General features: G+C 35.6%; 1 long non-coding RNA gene across 1 annotated transcript in view, besides 1 other annotated feature; it reads right to left on the reverse strand.

Moving 5' to 3' along the window:
- Positions 1 to 22,544, reverse strand: part of MACC1-OT1 (MACC1 3' UTR overlapping transcript 1) — a 221,446-nt gene that overhangs the window by 92,964 nt on the left and 105,938 nt on the right. The window contains exon 3 of the long non-coding RNA NR_110114.1: positions 16,975 to 17,015. This is a non-coding gene — a long non-coding RNA (MACC1 3' UTR overlapping transcript 1). The remainder of the gene's footprint in view (positions 1 to 16,974; positions 17,016 to 22,544) is intronic.
- Positions 7,990 to 8,079: an enhancer, noted in NCBI's record as "active region_25685". NCBI's record gives its function as "activates an Ori minimal core promoter by ATAC-STARR-seq in GM12878 lymphoblastoid cells {active_cell/tissue: GM12878}" and the evidence as "EXISTENCE:reporter gene assay evidence [ECO:0000049][PMID:35858748]".

Below are 22,544 nucleotides of genomic sequence, written 5' to 3' on the forward strand. Positions count from 1 at the left end.
AACTCTTGGGAAAAGTTGATTTTTTTCTGAATATGTAAACCTAAAAAATACTTAAAAATTATCAAGGTATAAATTGTCTGGAGATGAACATGTCATACTTACTTTTTACTAAAAGGGGCTGTAAATCACATTGCCAGATTTATACTGAAAAGCAAAAAGCTAATTCCTATATGCTTTAGGTAGAGCAGGATCTTAGGCTGAAGGGACTCTCCTACCTGTATACAGAATGGTACAGTATTATTAGTCTAAGCCCCTGTGTTTTTGCATTGTTCTCATCCTTAAGTATAATAGGATGTAGAATACTTGTGTAATGAAACCGCTATTTCTTTCTATTCAACTATGAACTGAGTCAGCACAATTTTCCCAAGCCTGACATTTTTAATACTGTTGTAGTTTTTTTGGTCCTATAGGTATTTGGGTACAGTGGAAGGTGGCCAAATAGGGAGGCCGTAGTAGGCTGTGCTGTTTGATGCTCCTAAGTGAGTAGGTTGAGATAAGGGCTGGGTCAGAGACCCAAGCAGCTAGTGAACTAATAGAAATTGACTGGAGCAGAGAAAGCAAAATGGGCAATTCCATGCCATATTCCTTAAAGGGGATATGAGGAGGCATAGAAAGCCAAAAGAATACGGTTGCCAAAGTCAATTCCTTCCTGGTTTTCTGGCATAAAACTGGTTTATTACAAAGTTCTTTAGAAAAGTGACTCAATCTCACAAAAACAATCAACCTTAGCCAAATTGAGTGAAATTATATTAACATTTTACCAGTCATCTCTTTGGGTTTAACTGATGACAATCAATTCCTAGTGCATTTCCTTTCATTCTGATGTATACTATAAAGTTTGGATGTTAACATAAGGATCAGAACCTCTCTCCAGACAATGGGCCTACAGAAATGAACTGTATCATTTTCAACAGCCATTTGTCTTTTCTAGCCAGAATCATAGTCCAACATTTTTCCTGTTGGTCAGGAAATAGCGAAGTACAGACTTTTATGAGGTTTTTGGCTATTTAGTTTCCTTTTTTTTTTTTTTTTTTTGCCAGAATTTAAGTATTCTAAATACAGGGATGAGAGAGATAGAGAAAATGAAAAAAGAGAAATGGCACATTTAAAAACCAGCAAATGAAAAATGGAAGTCATTTAAAGTAGTAAGTGAAGAAGAGGAATTTAGCAAGGATGTAAATGTTTTATGAGTAGTCTCTGTTTTACATAATTTGTATGGCTTAATCCTGGTTATGATTCTATAACATTGATTATTAACAACATTAGAATAAATATTCCCTAAAATTAAACAATGAATTATATCACTAATGTGTTTGATACTTTGGATCAATTTTCCTGGATCTTTGTGATAAGTATGATTGTCATTATAGCATACTTCAAAATGAGATAAAAGTGATAAGGACAATACTTTTAATATTTCCACCAAAGTGATATTGCCTTAAATCTTAGATAACAGAAGTCAACAGTAGAATCTGGAACATTTCCCAAGCATGCACCATTTCTAATTCTTTATTTCATCTCTGCCTGGAAGAGTTAGAGAATTATAATAGTCTCTAAACCAGTATAAAAAGGGCAGATTCTGAGCAAAAATTTGGATGGCAGACAGGCCTGGCAGCGCCACAAAGATGAAGAACCGGGGAATGCCTGGATAAAGCAACAGACTTGGTTCTAGACGCTGTTAAACTTAATTTGGCAGTACCGTATTTGACTTGAAACTTAGTTAAATATCCTGCAGTGGGTGGTTCTGAAAATAAAAATCTAGTTAATCCATCTGGCCTTTTAGCTATGCAAAGTATAGAACAATTTGCCTGGATTCTCTCTTTCCATTATTCCCTCTCTGATGACTTTCATTGCTGGAATCTATTTTTGGCATTCGTATATCAGAAAAAACTAGCTGAGCATGCTCTGAATCCTCCTCTATCAATAGACATTGATAGCAAAGCTTTTCAAGGCATAACACGTTGACAGCCATACATTAATTATCTTTCTGGGGGAAAAAAAAGCACACAGACATTAGAAAAGATGATATTTTTATACTTCCTTTTACTATAACACAGCTCTATTTTTTTGAAATGAGGTTATATATAGATGCAACTTAGTGCTCTAGTGACTAGATTTTAAGATTCTATAAACTATCAAACCATTATGTAACCTACTCAAATAATGAGTCTTTTAAAATGGAAAACACCCAATCATAAAGTGACAACAATTGAAAGCAAGAATGAATTTAGGTAACATTTACATCTGATGGATATAAACCTCAACGTCTGTGGAAATGAATGCTAAATATAGTTAATCTAATTTACTAAGCAATCTTCTTTAAAGCAATTCATTCTTCTTCAGCAAATTAAATAATAAACACATATCTTTGGAATGCAGTTTTCCTTTGTTAAATGTATCTAGAAAAACCCACAAGGATTAAGTGTAATGAAACAAAACAGAATACATAAGAGTCTTTTTAATTTCAGTCACATTTCTCATTTGCTGTGGGAAATGTCTTTTGGCTCATAAATATAAATATATCTAACATCAATAATATTCAAAGAATTGTACATTTAAGCAATAAGAGACTACTTTAAAAAATCAACTTGAAAAAATATTAAAAAGAACATAAATTACTCAGTATTACTGAGGCAATGAAGAAACATGCTTACCCAACACACTGTTGGTGAGAGTGTGAAAGGGTAAAAAAAAATTCTGGAGTGCTATTTGACAATAAAAATACAAATATTTTTTGACCCAGCAATTCCACATCTAGCAGTTTAATGACATAACTAAAATAGTATATATATATATGTGTGTGTGCGTGTATGTGTATATATATATATATGGCAGCAAGAAGTAAATATTATGTGTGTGTATATATACACATATACACACATGTATGGCAGTGTTATTTCAAAAAATTAGAAACAAGGTAAGCATAAATAAAATGCAATAAACAATGCATGCATGATATAGCCAAAGAATGGAATTATATGAACCAGAAAAAAATCTTGATTTAAATATAGTTTTATTTACATGCTAATTTATTGATGATTATAGTATTGTATTAAGAAAAGGACATTTTTGACATTTCTGGGAGCTATGACAATCTTCTGTTTTCATGTGTGTGTGAGAGAGAGAGAGAGAGTGAGAGAGAAGGACAGACAGAGGGATAGACAGAGAGAAAGAGATGTGGGAGGCGAATAGAAGAAACAGAAATGGTAGAATGTTGAAGCGGAGTAATGAGTACATGAGAGCACAACTTACTAATCACTCTACTTTTGTGAATGTTTGAAAATTTTTATAGCAATATTTTTAACACAAGGTTACACATCATTTTTTAATAGCAATATTTTAGGTGGTAGAATTGTAAAGGTTCCTTCTCTTCTTTTGCTTATCAGTGAACACAGATTACTTGGTAAATGTTTTAAAAGTAAAAATGAATAAAAATTAAGTCTATGGGAAAACATGTTTAGCTTTTTGTTTCCCCAACCCTGAGCTCCATTCAACTATTGTTGACAACTCTACCTCCTCTCTCAGACCTATCTGCTCTCCAAGCCAGTTGTTACCTAGGGCTAAATGGATACAGAAGGTTGTACCTCAGAAAAATCTTTGGTTGAGCATCAGTCTCTTTGCTGATGCTAAAATATTCATTTTAGAGTCAATATTAAATAATAAGAGGATCACAAATCAAGAAAATTATGTATCGAATGAATATGGAACTTCATTCACTTCTTTAGTAAATGTCTAAACAAGCCCATCTCCTGCTGTGCCATTTCTTGCTGTTACATAGAACTGATACTTAATTCTTGGCAATTTCCCTAGGCCGAGCTCTTTTTCTTGTCTAAACACCAATATTCTGGTTTGTACTTCTGTGTACAGGGTCAATCACATCTGCCTGCTCCTCTTCACCTTAGTCAAACCTCATCCTCTCAAATCTATCCTCACATGGGCCTCTGGCCTTCTGATCTGGCCTTTGCCCTTTGTCTCCCTAGACTCAAGGCATCATTTCGTTTTTCTCTTGTTAATTATCTTTACCCAACTGGTTTACAAGGCAAGTTGTTCACATCTGTTCTACCTCCTACCTAACCAAACTATCTCCATGGACTGCACTGCTCTGAGGCTGCTTAAGTAACAATGAAGCCAACCCTTCATTAGCAGAGAAAATAAAACCAAGCTGTGTCAGTTGTGAATGTCTGGTCTAGCAGTTTTCAGCATCCTTATATTCTTAGAGATTTAGTATATGATTGGAGGGAAAGGTTGACTGTAGACATAGATTACCTGGAGTCAAATCCTGGGTCTGCAACTTGGTAGTTGTGGAAACTTAGACAAATGAAGTGCCTCCGCATTACCATTTGTAAAGTTGGAGTAATATTCTCCGATTATTAAATAAGCTAATATAAATAAAGCCCTTAGAACAATACCTGATACATAGAAAGACTCAAATTAGTATTTGTTCTAGTTACTTACTCTAATATTCATGTTTAACTTCTTTGAACATAGTCATTACTAAACAAATACGTATGGGAAAATTTAGAGTGAATATTAAATAATAAAATAACAAAAGTAAAAAAGTTATGTCTTGGATGAATGTGTAAGTTCATTCCCTCCTTTATTAAATATTTATTGAGTTTCTGTGATGAGGCAGTCACTGTGCTAGCTACTGGGCAGATGACTGGGAATGAGATAAATGAAGCCTTTGCCCTTATGCACTTACATTATAATGGAGCTTAAATTTGAATTGATGAAGGAATACATCAGTGGCTTTGTGAATGCCAAGGCATATGATTGTAACCTTTATTCTGAAGTGGCTTTCTCTTTGCCAGATAAGAAAAGGCATCTTCGGGCATGGTCAACTATTTTGGAAATTCTGCCTCTGTTCTTTGTGACCTTGGAAGATGATTCATAATTGTATATTTATTAATCATGATAAAAATTGCTGACTCATTTTATAAGATTCAATTTTAATAAAACTTCATACGTGATGCTTCACATCAGCATAGCAAATAAAATATTAGCCCTGATAAAATATTCACTTTTTTGGTTTTGCTTCATTATTCTACAAAAAACCCCCATAATGTTATTTTTAATTATTAGATTGGTGCAAAAGTAGTTGCAGTTTGTGCCATTACTTTTGCACCAACCTAATATATATTTTACAACACATGTTTATTGATAGACTTCCAATAATACATAAAATAATAAAGTAAAACATCAATGGAAATCCAATTATCATGAGATTTAATAAACACTATTAATATGTTGTGATTTTCTTTTCATGAATCCCTTATGCACTCATGTAAAAATTTTACATAAATGGAATGATATTACATAAGAAGTTTTAGCCATTAATACTTTTCTTTCTTTTTTTTTCTTCTTTTTCATTTTGCCTCTATGAACAGTGCTGAAACAAACATCTTATGTATTGATGCTTTCACTTCTTTTTTTTTTTTTTTTTTTTTTTTTTTGAGACAAGAGGGTCTCATTCTGTCGCCCAGACTGGATTGCAGTGGCTCGATCTCCATGAACTGCAACCTCCGCCTCCCAGGCTGAAGCCATTCTCCTGCTTCAGCCTCCCGAGTAGGTAGGATTACAGGCATGCACCACCACGCCAGGCTAATGTTTGTATTTTTAGTAGAGACAAGGTTTTACCATGTTGACTAGGCTGGTCTGGAACTCCTGACCTCAAATGAGCCATCCACCTCGGCCTCCCAAAGTGCCGGGATTATAGGCATGAGCCACCGTGCCCAGCATGAGGCTTTCACTTCTATAGGTTAAATTCCAAAAGTAGGATTGCTAGGCCAAGGGGTATATATAGTTTTAATTTGTATTGACATTGCCCAGTCGCTTTTTTTTTTTTTTTTTTTTTTTTTTGAGACAGAGTCTCACTCTGTCGCCCAGACTGGAGTGCAGTGGCGTGGTCTCGGCTCACTGCAACCTCCGCCTCCTGGGTTCAAGCAATTCTCTGCCTCAGCCTTCCACGTAGCCGAGATTACAGGTGCCTACCACCACGCCCAGCTAATTTTTTGTATTTTTAGTAGAGACGGAGTTTCACCATCTTGGCCAGGCAGGTCTTGAACTCCCGACCTCGTGATCCACCCGCCTCGGCCTCCCAAAGTGCTGGGATTACAGGCATGAGCCACCGCGCCCAGCCTTTTTTTTTTTTTTTAATGGAGTCTTGCTCTGTCTCCCAGGCTGGAGTGCAGTGGCCCGATCTTGGCTCACTGCAACTTCCGCCCCCCAAGCTCAAGCGATTCTCTTGCCTCGGCCTCCTGAGTAGCTGGGACTACAGGCCTTCGCCACCACACCCAGCTAATTTTTTGTATTTTTAGTAGAGAAGGGGTTTCACTATGTTGGCCAGGCTTGTCTCGAATTCCTGAGCTCAAGCAATCAGCCTGCCTCGGCCTCCCAAAGTGCTGGGATTACAGGCATGAGCCACCGCGTCAGGCCCCCAGTTGCTTTTCTGAGTAGTCATATCAACTGACAGTCTACCAGCAATTTATGAGAGTTCTCATTGCTCCGTTGCCTTACTAATGCTTGGTATGTTGAGGCCTTTAATTTTTTAAAGCAATTTATTGAGTGTAATAGTATCCCATCTTAATTTAGATTTATATTTCCCTGATTCAATCTTCTCTGAATTACCTATTCATTTTGGAGGGGTTCACTGAACTTTCTAAATAGAAGGGCTTTTGTCTTTCATAAAATCCAGAAAATATCTGTAATTATCTCTTCTAATGTTGTTTCTCTTTTATTCTTCCTCTTATATGCTATTAGTTATAGAACTTTTCACTCAATCCACTATGCCACTTAACCTTTCATATTTTCTATCTTATTTGTCTCTCTCTGATATTTCTGTGTACTCTGTTGATACCTCAGTTCACTAGTTCTTTCTTCAGTTATCCCTAAGCAAAAATATCCTTTCTATTAAGTTTCTAATTTCAGTCCTGTAGTTCTTTTTAGTAGACTTACCTGATTTTTTTTCAGATCAGCTAGTTAATTTTTGGTAGACTTTCAGTCTTCATTTTACTTTTAGTACCATCTTTTATTCCAATAAACACATTAGGCATTTTTACCTTATTTTGTAATCTATGTATGTTATTTAAAATCTGTAGTCTGTGTGCATATTGTTTTGCAGAAATCTTTTTGTTTGTAATTGTAATCTTTTAAAAATGTTATTTGCAAGAGGAAGGTTAAGTATTTTGCCATATCATTGGAAAATAAAGATAATTTTTTTAATTTTTCCTAATATTGATACCAGTTATTTATGTTTCCTTCCTAACTGCATTTAGAAATAGCTCCACAACAATACTGAATGTTATTAAAAATAGTAGCATTCCTCTCTTATTTCTGATATTTTCTCTATTTAATCATATCTACTACTCCCTCTTGGAAATTCTGAGTGCTAACAGACTTTGTAAATAAACAGCCGACATTCATCACAATCCACAAAATGCAAACAAAACAATACATTTAGTATCTAGCAGTCATCTTCAAGGAATTGCATGTGCATGGCATCATTTAAACATTTTTTAAAAAAACAAAGAAAATTAAACAAAAATACACAGAAAATTTTTAAAAAGTTAGTTATTCTGCCTTAAATTCTACAAAAAAGACAAGAAAGATGATTGAAAAACATAAATGCACAAGGATAAAGCCAACGTGAGAAGACAGTACTACAACAGAGTTTGGGAAACTAGAAAGCAGGTGTATCAATTTACTATGGCTACTTTAAACAATACCTCAAATTTGGTGACTTAAAACAGCGCACATTTATTTTCTTACAGTTCTGGATATCAGAAGCTCAAAGGGTTTCAATAGATTAAACCAAAGTGCTAGCAGGGGTACACTTCCTCAGGAAGCTCTATGATGGAATCTCTTTCCCTGCCTTTTCCAAATTCTAGAGCTGCATTCCTTGCATTTCTTGGCTCATCACCCCTTCCTCCACCTTCAAAGCTAGCAGCAAAGTATCTTCAATTCTCTGTTTCCATCATCATATCACCTTCTTCCTCTTTTGTGGTCAAATCTCTGTCCACCCTCCTCTCATGATTATATTTAGGAAACACCTGGAAAATCCCCCTCTCTGAAGATACTTAACTGAATTACATATGCAAGGCCCCCTTTTGCCATGTAAAGTAACTCTCTCAGGTTCCATGAAATAGATCTTAGATATCTTTGGGGCACATTATTCAAGCTATCACTGAGGTAAGAAGCTTAGTACCTCAAAGCTGAAAACTACACTATCAGTAAGGAAAGCAACTGACATTTTTTTCACAGAAAAATGCTAACTGAGGCTTAGTCATTGAAGGCAGCAGCCAGGTACCTCTGCAACAGAGGGTAATGGGTGGTGTGAAAATTAAGAGAATCGATTAGCTATAGAAGAAGGTACAAGATTCCACAGATTACTTTCCCAACCCTTTTCTGTCAGGTCACTGCCTCTCTCCCCATGTCATGGAATCAGGGACACTGCACATTGCTAACGGAAAGGGTACCACATGGAAAAAAAGGATATTCATTAACCAATCATTGAAGCCCAGTCACCTTTCCCCAGCTGGATCTAAAAATGCTACATAAGATGTATCAGCCTATCAATAGTTGGCTAATAAATGAGTATTCTTTGCTTGCGGAAATGTACCAGGAGAATAGGAGAACAGCAGACACTGGGAAAGGCAGATCTCCTGATAAAACCAAATTAAGCATCATAGAGTAAATCCCACCAGTAGACAGGGCCCACACAGCCACACATACCTTGAAATCAGATTTTTATTGTCTCTGTCTTAAATCTGAATGGAAAGTCTCATATAGCCAGACATAGAAGAAAGCCTTCATTTAGAGGACTGAAGCAAGCCTCTAACATAAAGGGTGAAGACTTAAGTAAACAAAGGGTGGCAGGGGGAGAAACTCATCAAAGAAGCAAAAGAATTTTTAAATTTTCTCATAAAAAATGTTGGAACTTCAGAGAGCTGAGAGTTATTGTACTCATAAAATGAGAACATGGGGTAATTTGTTTTAATGTCATGAATAGAACCCAAAAATCTTGGGAAATACAATTATTATCATGGTAAAATAAAGTTCAATAAGAAAAGTAAAAAACAAGTTGAAAAAATCTCTCACAAAGAAAAAAATAGAAAACATTAGAATATTATTCTAGGACTTAAAACACTGAACACTTAGAATTACAGAAAGAAAGAAGAGAGAAGATGGAGAAGAAAAAAATAAAGAAAATGTTTAAAAATGTTTCAGGCTGAAAGATTTGAAGTTTCACATTGAGAGGGATCATCAAGAGTTCAATACAATGGTTACACAAGACCCATGGAAAACTACCTCACTGAGAAATTTCAGAACACTGATTACAAAGTGAAGTCCTAGAAGCTTCTGAAGAGAAGTCAGAAGAGTCCACATTCAGAAATCAAAATTACATCAGACCCTCAATAGAAATGTTAGAAGCTAGACAATAATGGTGTGATATCTTCAAAATTCTGAGAGAAAGTGATTTCCAACTAAGACTTGTATACCCAGCCAAACTATTTTTTTAATCAGACACAGCAGTTCAAATGAAGGCATGCAACTTTTCAATAATTTTACCACTCACACAGTCTCTCTCAGGAAGCTAGAGGAGGATATAATTGACTAAAATAAGGTGATTCACTAAGGAAGAGCAAAACAGGTGACCCAAGCAAGAAAGGATCCATTAAAAATATTTCAAAATAAAGACATGATATGAATTCCAAAAAATATGGCAATAAAATCCTAGAACAAGTTTTTTTCTCAACTGAGGGTAATTTTGTCCCCCAGGGGATATATGACAATGTATAGAAACAGTTTTGTTATCACAAGTACAGGAGTGGAGGAGAGTGCTACTGTCAGCTAGTGGATTGGTGGATAGAGGCCAGGGATGCTGCCAAACATCCTACAACGTGCAGGACAATCTCCTGCAATAAATAATAATGCAGCTCAAAATGTCAATAGTGCCAAGGAAGTTGAGAAACCCAGTCCTAGTAAACAGTAGCTGTGCAACAGACTGAAACAGGAACCAGGGCAACTTAAGGGTAAAAGACTTAGAATTAATTTTGTGGTCAGTTTAGAACCACTGACTTATTAGAGCTAAGCCTCAGAAAGTAGCTTTCAACAAATACAAAAAATTATGACATAATGTGAGCAATGCAGTTAAAGAGCCAGGCAGAAAGAACTTGGGGACACAACTAAGCTACATTCCTTGGTCCTGATCACTTCATTACTAATTTTTGGCCTAACATAAAAGATTCTTCATGACCTTGCCATGAACTAACATTCCAATTTTATCTCCTGTCAGTTTCCTCCACTATACAATTTATGGGCTTCTGAACACACATCAATTTAATTCTCCATCATTGCACATACCATTTTTCATCATGAATATCTCTGTCTACCTTGTCCTCTCAAGGAATTTATCACCATCTCCAAAACTAAGCTCCAAAACTCAATAAAGTATGAATCAATTAAAAATGAATAAAATGGCTTCTAAATAATAGTACATTGTTATGTCATTTTGAATATATATTCATAATGTAAATAATTTGTATATATATTAGTTAAGAGAATTTCAGCTACTATAATCAAGCTTCCCCAAAATGTACAATAGCTCAGGCAAAATAGAAATTTTTTGCTAACATGAAATCCAAATCATTGATAAATAGGATCCTCTCCTCACAGGAGTAATTCAGAGTTCCAGGTACCCTTTATTTTATAGTTCCACCCTCTTGACTTCTCATTTTAATTTGTTCATCAGCATTAAGTGAATGGATGGGTAAAAGTATGCAGAATAATGTGCAGGAGTTTTTATGGTCCAGGTCTGGGTTCATTGCACACATCACTTTTTCTCACTGTGTATCAGCTACATGACTGCACATAACTGCAAGGAAAGCTGAGAAATACTGTCTACCTGCATGCCCAAACAGAAGAGGAAATAGAAGGTAAATAGCTAGCCAGTCTCTGACATTGCATGGTTCTAAAAAGCCTTTCTAGCAATGTTCAGAAACAAACAAATGAAGTACAAGGAAATTTGATTATGTGTAAGGCACATTTACAATAATTGACTGTCACATAGTTGTTGAAATCACAGAACAAAATGACAGTAAATGGAAACATTAAGATAGAAACATGAAAGAATATAGGAAAGGTCCCTGAGTTGCAAGATATAAAATGAAGGAAGCAGGACAGGTGAGTAAATAGTGTCAATTTCATACAATGAGATGCTGTTAGAAATGGTGGACAGCTGTGAGTTAAATACTACCATATATAGCAAGAGGATGCTCCTCTTCCTCCTGTGAGTCAGGAGCATTAGAAGAAAAAGCTTTATTATCAAAAGTTAAAAAACAAAACAAAACAAAAAACTAGAAAGCCACTGTTGTCAAGGAGGTGAGAAAGATGCAAAAATGGCATGTGGATAATAGAAACATTGATACTATATTCTCTTTGTAGCAATTGTGAAGGGGACTTTGCTCATGATTTGGCTTTCTGTCTATTATTGGTGTATAGGAATGCTTGTGATTTTTGCACATTGATTTTGTATCCTGAGACTTTGCTGAAGTTGCTTATCAACTTAAAGAGTTTTTGGGCTGAGACAATGGGGTTTTCTAAATATACAATCATGTTATCTGCAAACAGAGATAATTTGATTTCCTCTCTTCCTATTTGAATGTCTTTTATTTCTTTCTCTTGCCTGATTGATTGCTCTGGCCAGAACTTCCAATACTATATTGAATATGAATGGTAAGAGAGGGCATCCTTGTCTTGTGCCAGTTTTCAAAGAGAATGCTTCCAGCTTTTGCCCATTCAGTATGATATTGGCTGTGGGTTTGTCATAAATAGCTCTTATTATTTTGAGATATATTCCATCAATACCTAGTTTATTGAGTGTTTTTACATGAAGGGTGTTGAATTTTATTGAAGGCCTTTTCTGCCTCTATTCAGATAATCATGTGGTTTTTGTCATTAGTTCTGATTATGTGATGGATTACATTTATTGATTTGCATATGTTGAATCAGCTTTGCATCCCAGGAATGGAGCCAATTTGATCGTGGTGGATAAGCTTTTTAATTAACGTGCTGTTGGATTTTGTTTGTCAATATTTTACTGAGGATTTTCGCATCGATATTCATCAGGGATATTGGCCTGAAATTTTCTTTTGTTGTTGTGTCTCCGCCAGGTTTTGGTATCAGGATGATGCTGGCTTCATATAAAATGAGTTATGGAGGAGTCCCTCTCTTTCTATTGTTTGGAATAGTTTCAGAAGGAATGGTACCAGTTCCTCCTTGTACCTCTCTGCAAGAATGTGGCTATCACTCCGTCTGGTCCTGGGCTTTTTTTGATTGGTAGGCTACTCATTACTGCCTCAATTTTAGAACTTGATATTGGTCTATTCAGGAGTTCGACTTGTTCCTGGTTTAGTTTTGGGAGGGTGTATGTGTCCAGGAATTTATTCATGTCTTCTAGATTTTCTAGTTTATTTGCATAGAGGTGTTTATAGTATTCTCTGATGGTAGTCTGTATTTCTGTGGGATCAGTGGTGATCTCCCCTTTATCATTTTTTATTGTGTCTATTTGATTCTTCTCTCCTTTCTTCTTTATTAGTCTGGCTAGTGGTCTATTTTGCTAATCTTTTCAGAAGAACCAGCTCCTGGATTCATTGATTTTTTGAAGGGCTTTTCATGTCTCTATGTCCTTCAGTTCTGCTCTGATCTTAGTTATTTCTTGTCTTCGGCTAGCTTTTGAATTTGTTTGCTCTTGCTTCTCTAGTTCTTTCCATTGTGATGTTAGGGTGTCAATTTTAGATCTTTCCTGCTTTCTCTTGTGAGCATTTAGAAATACAACTTACAAGGGAGGTGAAGGACCTCTTCAAGGAGAACTACATACCACTGCTCAAGGAAATAAGAGAGGATACAAACAAATGCAAAAACATTCCGTGCTCATGGATGGGAAGAATCAACATCGTGAAAATGGCCATACTGTCCAAAGTAATTTATAGATTCAATGCTATCCCCTTAAGCTACCATTGACTTTCTTCACACAATTAAAAAAAAACTACTTCAAATTTCATATGGAACAAAAAAAGAGCTGGTATAGCCAAGACAATCCTAAACAAAAGGAAGAAAGCTTGAGGCATCACACTACCTGACTTCAAACTATACTATAGGCTACAGTAACCAAAACAGCATGGTACTCGTACTAAAACAGATATACAGACCAATGGAACAGAACAGAGGCCTCAGAAATAACTCCACACATCTACAACCATCTGATCTTTGACAAACCTGACAAAAACAAGCAATGGGGAAAGATTTCCCTATTTAATAAATGGTGTTGGGAAAACTGGCTAGCCATATGCAGAAAACTGAAACTGGACACTTTCCTTACACCTTACACAAAAATTAACTCAAGATGGATTAAAGACTTAAACATAAGACCTAAAACCATAAAAATCCTAGAAGAAAACCTAGCCAATACAATTCAGGACACAGACATGGGCAAAGACTTCATGGCTGAAACACCAAAATCGATTGCAACAAAAGCCAAAATACACAAATGGGATCTAATTAAACTAAAGAGCTTCTGCACAGCAAAAGAAACTATCATCAAAGTGAACAGGCAACCTACAGAATGGGAGACAATTTTTGCAATCTGTCCCTCTGACAAAGGGCTTATATCCAGAATCTACAAGGTACTTAAAAAAATTTACAAGAAAAAAACAAACAAGCCCATCAAAAAGTGGGCCAAGGATATGAACAGACACTTCTAAAAAGAACACATTTATTTGGCTAACAAACATATGAAAAAAAGCTCATCATCACTGGTCATTAGAGAAATGCAAATCAAAACCACAATGAAATACCATCTCACGCCAGTTAGATGGTGATCATTAAAAAGTCAGAAAACAATAGATGCTGGAGAGGATGTAGAGAAATAGGAATGCTTTTACACTGTTGGTGGGATTGTAAATGAGTTCAACCATTTTGGAAGACAGTGTGGCAATTCCTCAAGGATCTAGAACTAGAAATACAATTTGACCCACCAATCCCATGACTGGGTATATACCCAAAGGATTATAAATCATTCTACTATAAAGACACATGCACACGTATGTTTATTGCAGCACTATTTACAATAGCAGAGACTTGGAACCAACCCAAATGCCCATCAATGATAGACTGGATAAAGAAAATGTGGCACATATACACCATGGAATACTATGCAGCCATAAAAAAGGACGGGTTCATGTCCTTTTTAGGGACTTGGATGAAGCTGGAAACCATCATTTTCAGCAAACTAACACAGGTACAGAAAACCAAACACCGCATGTTCTTACTCATAAGTGGGAGTTGGACAATGAGAACATATGGGCACAGGAAAGGGAATATCACATGCCATTGCCTGTTGGGGGCTGTGGGGCTAGTGGAGGGATAGCATTAGGAGAAATACCTAATGTAGATGACAGGTTGATGGGTGCAACAAACCACCATGGCACATGTATACCTATGTAACAAACCTGCACGTTCTGCACATGTATGCCAGAACTTAAAGTATAATAAAAAATAAATAAATATTATTAAGATAAATAAAGAAATAAATAAAACTAAAGATACATAATAGAACACTGAAAGGCATTTTTTAAAATACATGAGAGATTTCTTCATATGGTGTAGAATTGGGTAAGTTGAATTGTATGAAAAAGAACTGCAGCGTAGGGGAGGTAAGGATTCTGGGTGTGAGGCTTTTATCAAGAAGATCATTTGCTTCATAGAGTTGGATGCAGTGACAAAAAAGAGAGATGGAGTAATTTAAATTTATTTTCATGGTTTAATCATGTGACCTTTTATTGTGACCATGTTATTCAAAAGATCAAGTTGTGCATCTCAAATATATGCAATTCTGGTCAATTATATCTCAATAAAGATGAAAATTATTTGTTTAATTAGGGAACTTTTTTTTAAAAAAAGAAATGCCTGGAATGCGCTCCTGCTGCTCCTGTTTCTCAGTTAGCAAACTTCCTTCTGATTGAAATTTAAATGTTACTTCACTGAAACTTTTCCTGACGCTCCTGATAATGTCAGCCATACAGGATCAGGACCCTATACCTAACCTTGAAGACCTACTCACAATGTTGATTGAACAATTACTAAATTAACTTATTTAATATACATATCCCGCACTAGAAGAGCTCAGGACACTATCGGTGTTTTACACTATTATGTACTTGGCATCTAGTTATGTATTGTACCCACCAGAGACATGCAATGTAACTGCTGAATGATAAATGTTGGGCAGAGTAGAGTAAGAATCCTCTGTTTCTCCTAATTCTGTGGAATAGTTTGCTTAACACTGTCGTTATTTCTTTATTTGGAACAGCTTCTCAGGGAAGCCATTTGGTTTTTGGAATATTCTTTAGGGAACATTTTTTGCCTGCCAACTTCATTTTTAAAAATATTTATAGAACCATTCAGCTTTTTAAATTTTTTTAGTAGCCAAATTTAGTAAAATTCATTTTGTAGTGTAATAGGGGACCTCACTTTTAAAAATCATACACTTTTTGTTTCTTCTTTCCTTCCCCACTCACTTCCTTCCTTTGAGGGAATGCTCTAGACATTCCCATCTTCTAGCAATTCATGCTTCCCTAATTATGCTCTCGTTTAAGAAATACCAAAGGCTAATCTTAAATGAGGGAAGGAGACCCCATTGTGGAATCTTCCCGAGTAGGGGTAGTCGTGAACAATGAGTCTACCACCATGCACGGAAGTCAAGGTAAGACCAATAAGCCCTCAGGAAGATCAATATCCCAAGATAGCCATAGGAACAAGACACACAGACCCTGGATCCTGCACTACTCTTGCATATCTCTCATACCAAGTTTCTCTTTTAAAACCCTACGGTAAATTTTAAAATTTAAGGTGGTTCTTTAGCGTGATAGTTTACCATTTTCTCAGTATGCTGGCTCTCCAATTAAATCTGCTTATCCTCCCACCAACCGTCGCCTCTAATGTTTGGCTTGCAGGTAGTGAGCAGTGGAACCTAGGTCCAGTTATACCACTAATATTGTGGTTTTATCTATTTCTCCTTGCATATGAATTTCAACACCATATGAGTGTGTGTGTGTGTATGTGTGTGTGTGTGTGTGTGTGTTGTCTTTATAGATATTAAGAATATGTTACTAGGTACTGACATGGTTTGGCTGTGTGTCCCCACCCAAATCTCATGTTGAATTGTGATCCTGAATGTTGGAGGTGGGTCCTGGTGGGAGGTGATTGGGTCATGGGGGCAGATTTTCCCTTTGCTGTACTCGTGATAGTGAGTGAGTTCTCATGAGAACTGATTGTTTAAAAGTATGTAGCACTTCCCTTTTCCCTCTCTCTCTCCTGCCATCATGTGAAAATGTGTTTGCTTTCCCTTCACCTTCTGCCATTGATTGTAAGTTTCCTGAGGCCTCCCCAGCCATACCTCCTGTGCAGCCTATAGAGCTTGAGTCAATTAAAGCTCTTTTCTTTATAAATTATCCATTCTCAGGTAGTTCTTTGCAGCTATGTGAGAATGAACTAATACAGGTATCTACAAATGTAAAAAGGGTTATATGTTTCTGTTGATGAGCTTATTGTGAAGTCTTCACCTCCAGCAGTAGACTTCCTTTAACTTTGAACATACCTCCTTTCTCCTTGCACTTTAAACTTTATATTCCATGTTTCTTTTATAAGCAGTATATAGATTTTGTACTGTATTTTGAATTACTTTTTCTATAATTGGAGAAAATAATCTATTCATTTGGAAGGTAATTATTTATTTGTGGTTTCACCTATTTATTCTGTACTATTTCTTTTTCTCTCCTTTCTTTTCTTCTACTGGATTGGTCAAATATTTTATAAATATTTCAGTATTTTCCACCCCACTTACTTAAAGGCATTATCTTTATTTATATGCCCAATTAATGGTTACCATAAAAATTATAATATAATTTACTTACTTACCTTGTCAAAGTCTAAGTTCAACAATGTCTTTATTCTTCTCCCTGCAAATATGGAGACCTTAGATTATTTTCCTCCATTTAATTCAATACAACTTCTATATTATTCATTTTGTTATTTTTATTACATTGTTTAAGAACCACAAAAAATTAATATGATTATTATTGACCACATTATTTGTTCTCCATTCATTCTTTTTCTCACATCTTCCAATGGAATCATTTTATTTCAGCTTGAAATATATCCTTTTCAATTTTATTTCTTTATTTGCTTATTTATTGACACAGGGTCTCACTCTGTCACCCAAGCTTGAGGACAGAGATGCAATCATGGCTCACTGCAGCCTCAACCTACTAGGATCAAGAGATCCTCCCACCTCAGCCTCCTGACACTACAGGTGCGTGCCACCATGCCTGGCTAATTTTTGTAGAGACATGGTCTTACCATGTTGCCCAGGCTGATCTCAAATTCCTGAGTTCAAGTGATCTGCCTCACTCAGCATCTCAAAGTACTCGAATTAGAGGCTTGAGCCACTATGCCCAACCCTTTTCAAGTTCCTTTAATGAGGCTCTGCTGATAATTAACTCTCTCAATTTTTTAAATTTTTGTATTTGTTATTTTTACATAAAAATATTTCTTAGCTCATTCTGGAAATCTATTTTGACTTGGTGTAGAATTCTAAGTTATAATCTTTCAAAACATTTCAAATATTCCTTTGAATTTTGACTTCCATTTTTGCTGCTGAGCAAATTTAATAGCTGCCCTCTTTTTACTCTGCTTTGAATTTGTTTCTATCTTCTTTGTTCTGTGAAATTTCAGCCTCTAGATGTAGATTTTATTTTATTTTTATGCTTGTTGTTTGTTGTGATATGGAGTCTGCAAATTGGTGTCATCACTTCTGGAAGATTTTCAACCATTGTCTTTTCAAAGCCCCAGCGAAAATGGGATTATTTTCTGAGACTGATTAATTATACTGTATACCTTCTCACTTGATATTCTATCTTTTACCCTCTTCTCTATAATTTCTAACATTTTTTCATCAGTGCCGTATATTAGTTTATTTTTGTTTTTGATGCATCTATAAGTTTCTAATTATCTCTTCAGCTGTGCCTAATTTGCTATTTAAAATGTTCCTTGAATTATTTAATTTTTTTTTAATTTCTGAAAGTTTCATCTGGTAAAAATCTGTAAACTTACATATCTGCTATGTTAATATTTTAAGTTGCATATATTACTTGCATGTATTTTCAAAATTATCTTTCACTTATTTAAACATATAAGCATAGTTGTTTTTTTCCTCCAATATAATAGCCTGTATCTGAATCTGAAAATTCTAATTTACAGGAATCTTTGTGGGTCTCTTTTCACTGATGGTGCAGTATATCTTTATGTGCTTTGTTAATTTTGACTATTTGATGTTTATTCTTTAAGAAATAAAATCATTTTGATAATTTAAAGTACAGATAAATGTACTATAATATTTTCAAAAAGAAAGCACAATTGCTTCTGCTAGGTGCCTTGGTGCACCTCTAGTCTAGATTCACCTTAAAGCAAATGTGGAGCTGAGATTCTCAGACTGCCCAGACAATGTGAAACCATGCGGCAAGCCCACGCAGGGCTGGTAAGCTTTTGGTTCACTCTTATCCTGAGGGTGCAGCCCTTTGCTGTCCTGGATGTTATTGGAAGTAGTTCTCCTCTAAGCCTTTTTACTTGTATGTCCTCTGAGCTTTAATTTATTCCCTTTTGACTCATAAGGCATCAAAGTAAAAGTACAAATTTGCTAAAATAGGGAAGCATCTGTAATGCAACAGAAAATTCATGCTCTGCTTACCTTTCTAGGTTCTTGTTTTGCCTTTATTTGGCCTAATAACTTCATACTATTTTGTCAGTAATCCACAGCTTTTGAGAAAGATTGTATCCTGCAAGTTTAGTCATAGATTGTGAGTGTGAATAACTTAGTTTGCCTTTACTAAAAACAAAATCGTCTTCTAAAGTCATTCCCTACAGTCCACAATGAGCCCACAGCTAGAAACAGATCATTTTTCCTTCTGAAAGCAGAACAAAAGAAAATGAAATATGTGATCTCCTGAGTGTCTTGTACAGCTGAATTTCACATGCCTTGTCTTTTTATCTTTCACAAGGACTATCAAAGTGTCTCACACAGTAGATGCTCATGTTTACAATATGAGTAAATACAATTTACCATATTCATGTGGCTACATTTACCCACAGGAATTTTTATAAATACCTACAACTATGTAATTTGAGCTTAACATTAGATACTAATTTCCCTGGAATAGCAATGGTAGGAGGGGGAATCCCTGGGAGCTTAATTTAGACATATGACTAGAAAAGAGAAGTCAACTCAGAGCCACAAAACTGAACTTCAATTCTGACAAAGGGGAGGGGAAATTGCATTTTTAGGTTTGGTGAGACAGTGAGAACCTGAACTCTCAAATTGGACAGATCTGGATTTGAATCTCAGCTCTGCCACTTTCCAGCTACCTGACCTTAGGCAAGTTATTTAATCTCTTATAAGGGAACGATAGTAATATATTTTTCACTAGGTGGGACTCAAAGTCAAATGGGGTAATAAAGGTAATTTTAAATGCACAATGACTGACTCATAGAAGGTGATCAATAAATATTGAGACTATCATTTCATTTTTCTGTCCTGAGAAATAATTACCATCTCACAACATAATTTGTCACCACTAATTAGGCATACAGAAGCAGAGTAACAAAAATCTTTTATATTAATTACCAATTCTGGTAGTTAGCCATTGGCTGCTTAGAACACAGTGCTGAGAAAGATTCTGAGGAAAGCATATAACGACTGATTATCAGCATCTTCCATGAAATCAGTGATAAGAACCAGGTGCATCAGTGCCTTTTATGTGCCATAATTCACAAAGATTGTTAGAGGGATATAGGCAAACACTCCTATAATAGCACCTATACCTCTATAATACAGTATCCTTCAGTCAAGGCCAGGATTTACTTGTAAGTTTTTGCCCAGATCATAACTTTTTCATATATGTAGGCTGTAAACACAGACTTTTTATTCCTTATTCATCAAATTATCTGCTCAGAAAACTAAAATATTCTGTCTGTGTCAGAGAGTTCAGTATATCATCCCAATTTAATCAGATCAGCAGAAGTGAACACTATCTAGCCTGGCCACTTAGCTATGTTTTCAATGACCTTTTCTCTGCTTTCTTCTCCAGTTGAAATTCCCAACTTAATTTGTCATATTCCTTGACTTGCATTGTATGTTGCTTCTACAAATCTATTACATGACTATGCATTTGACTATTTTTGTTTAATCATAGCCTTGATTAGGCCATGATATTATGAGGTCACCAAAAAGCCATCTCAATTTGCAGAAGGTCATTTACCTCTTGTATATGCCCAGAACCAGGCACAGAGCTGAGCACAGAATAGGCAATCAAAAGTTATTTGTTGCATTTATATGTGGGTAGATCAATAACTTAATTTCTATAGAACAATATTCTTTTGTTTGCTCTTATTGTAATATATTGCTTTTATTTAATAAGCCACAAAATACTTCAAAATGAGACTGCATTTTTTGTATACATTTTACGCAGTAATGTAAGTAAGGCATAACTTTATTTGAATCACAATACAACCCACAATTCTATATTTTAGTAGAAAAGAAGCTGAAAGTTTCAAAATCTCAGAAGGGTCTACTTTTGTTTGAATCAATGCAAAGGCCATGAGAATGTGACATCTTGATGCATCTGGTCAGACATAAATGTCCTTATAATGATACTTTGGAAAGTTACTTTTGAATTCCCACTTGGTTAGACTATGTAATGAGAGTGGCACCAAGGGTTGTGTAGTCTGTATCACATCCTCATTCCCCAGAGATGGATCTTCTTTTGAAGCACTTAAAAACTTAAAAATAGATTTTTATATAGAAGTCCCATTATCCCATCTCATATCTTTACCAAAAACTGGAAGTTGTTGAGATTGGAAATTTTGTACGTCTTTTATTCTGATTTGTTATAGTAGTTTGAGAGTGGAAGTGCCTTTGCAGATGTTAGGGAAAACACTACCCACTCAATGGGTAAAAAAAACAAATCTCTCTTCCACTGGACAAGATACTTACTTCATTGAAACCAAGCATGATTCATTGCTATTTTCAGCAATAAAACACCAGTGAGGTAACTGGGCATAAAATATTACTATTTTTTGCTTTTTTAATCATCATTTGAACCCATGTTCAAGGGGAAGGTAGAGGTAGGAATGAGGGAGGAAGGGAGAGACAGAAAAATGAATTAAGGGAGACACAAAAACTACTATGACTGTTCTTTTGAGCTGTGTTGTCTCTAAAGTTAAATACCTCAGTTTATTTCCTCTACAAATCAATCTTACGCCTCTGAAGTCTGGTGCATTCACTTGCCTTTTTGATTATTTCTTTAGAACCTAAACTCAAAGATAAGCACTTTTGGAGAACACAGCTAAACAAATCCATCCCTTGCATTATGTCTCTTCAGCATTTACAACTCTTTCAGACAGAAAATACAGTCCACAGAGATCACCCTGCTGTGTTGCAGATGTTGCAAATGTCATTTCTACTGGATATTTCCCTCTAGGAGTTATTTTGCTTTTCCATAGAGGAAAATGGTTCCCCAAATACCTTCTTTGGCCTAAGCAGTCTACGGGCATTTTAAATCAAAGGCACTGTCTGTGCTGAAGGGAGCAATAGTGGCTCCCACTTGTTAAGGGAAAAGGAAGATTCATAAGCAGTTCTAACAAATGCAAGGTCCAACTAGAAGCCTTGGGCTAGAATGACTTTTGCTTGCTGTTGTGTCAGCCAAAGGCTGTGTTGCTTCAGTGAGCTCTATTTTTGGAATCATAGAGCTGATGCTACAAATCATCATGAGGTTGTCTTACTAACTGTACTAAAATTTCCATTCCTTGTATCACTTAGGAGCTAGTCATTGCGGTTAAAACATAGCAAGAATGCTTGTTTGACAAAGAGCAACATAACTATAATTATTAACAATGAAATGATTTTGCAACCAAAACAACAGTTTGAATAATGTTGGGAAACCTAGTGATTTTTTAAAGTTGTTTTTGTTTTGTTTTTCGAATCATAATTAGGGCACAAACCAGAGTTTAGTTCCCAGCTCCCTGACGTAGTAATAAAATTTTAGGAGTCCCCTGTTTAACATTCCTGGGCTTCAGTGTCTTCGTGTTAAAATGGAAATTGTATAACATTTCAAGAGGTTGCTGCAAGATGTAAAAGAAGAGGCCATGTATGCAATGCATTTGCAGAATATCTGACATACATAAAGCACTCAAAAACACTTCCTCCTTTGTTGAAAAATCATGGCTCATATTCAAAAAGAGTCTCTTACTGGACAGGAGATTACTGAAGTCACTGATCATTTTTAATGGTGCTGTTTAATTTGTCTCTAGCATTTTTCTTCATTTCCCCATTGTGTGGTTCTGGTAGATTGAAATAACATGAGGCTTGGGCTACTGCTCTTATTGTGACATTTTGATACAGTTCTGACCAAATATTTGAATAGAAAGACCATGAA

The sequence above is a fragment of the Homo sapiens genome, chromosome 7, assembly GCF_000001405.40.
Source record: "Homo sapiens chromosome 7, GRCh38.p14 Primary Assembly".
Taxonomy (NCBI): domain Eukaryota; kingdom Metazoa; phylum Chordata; class Mammalia; order Primates; family Hominidae; genus Homo; species Homo sapiens.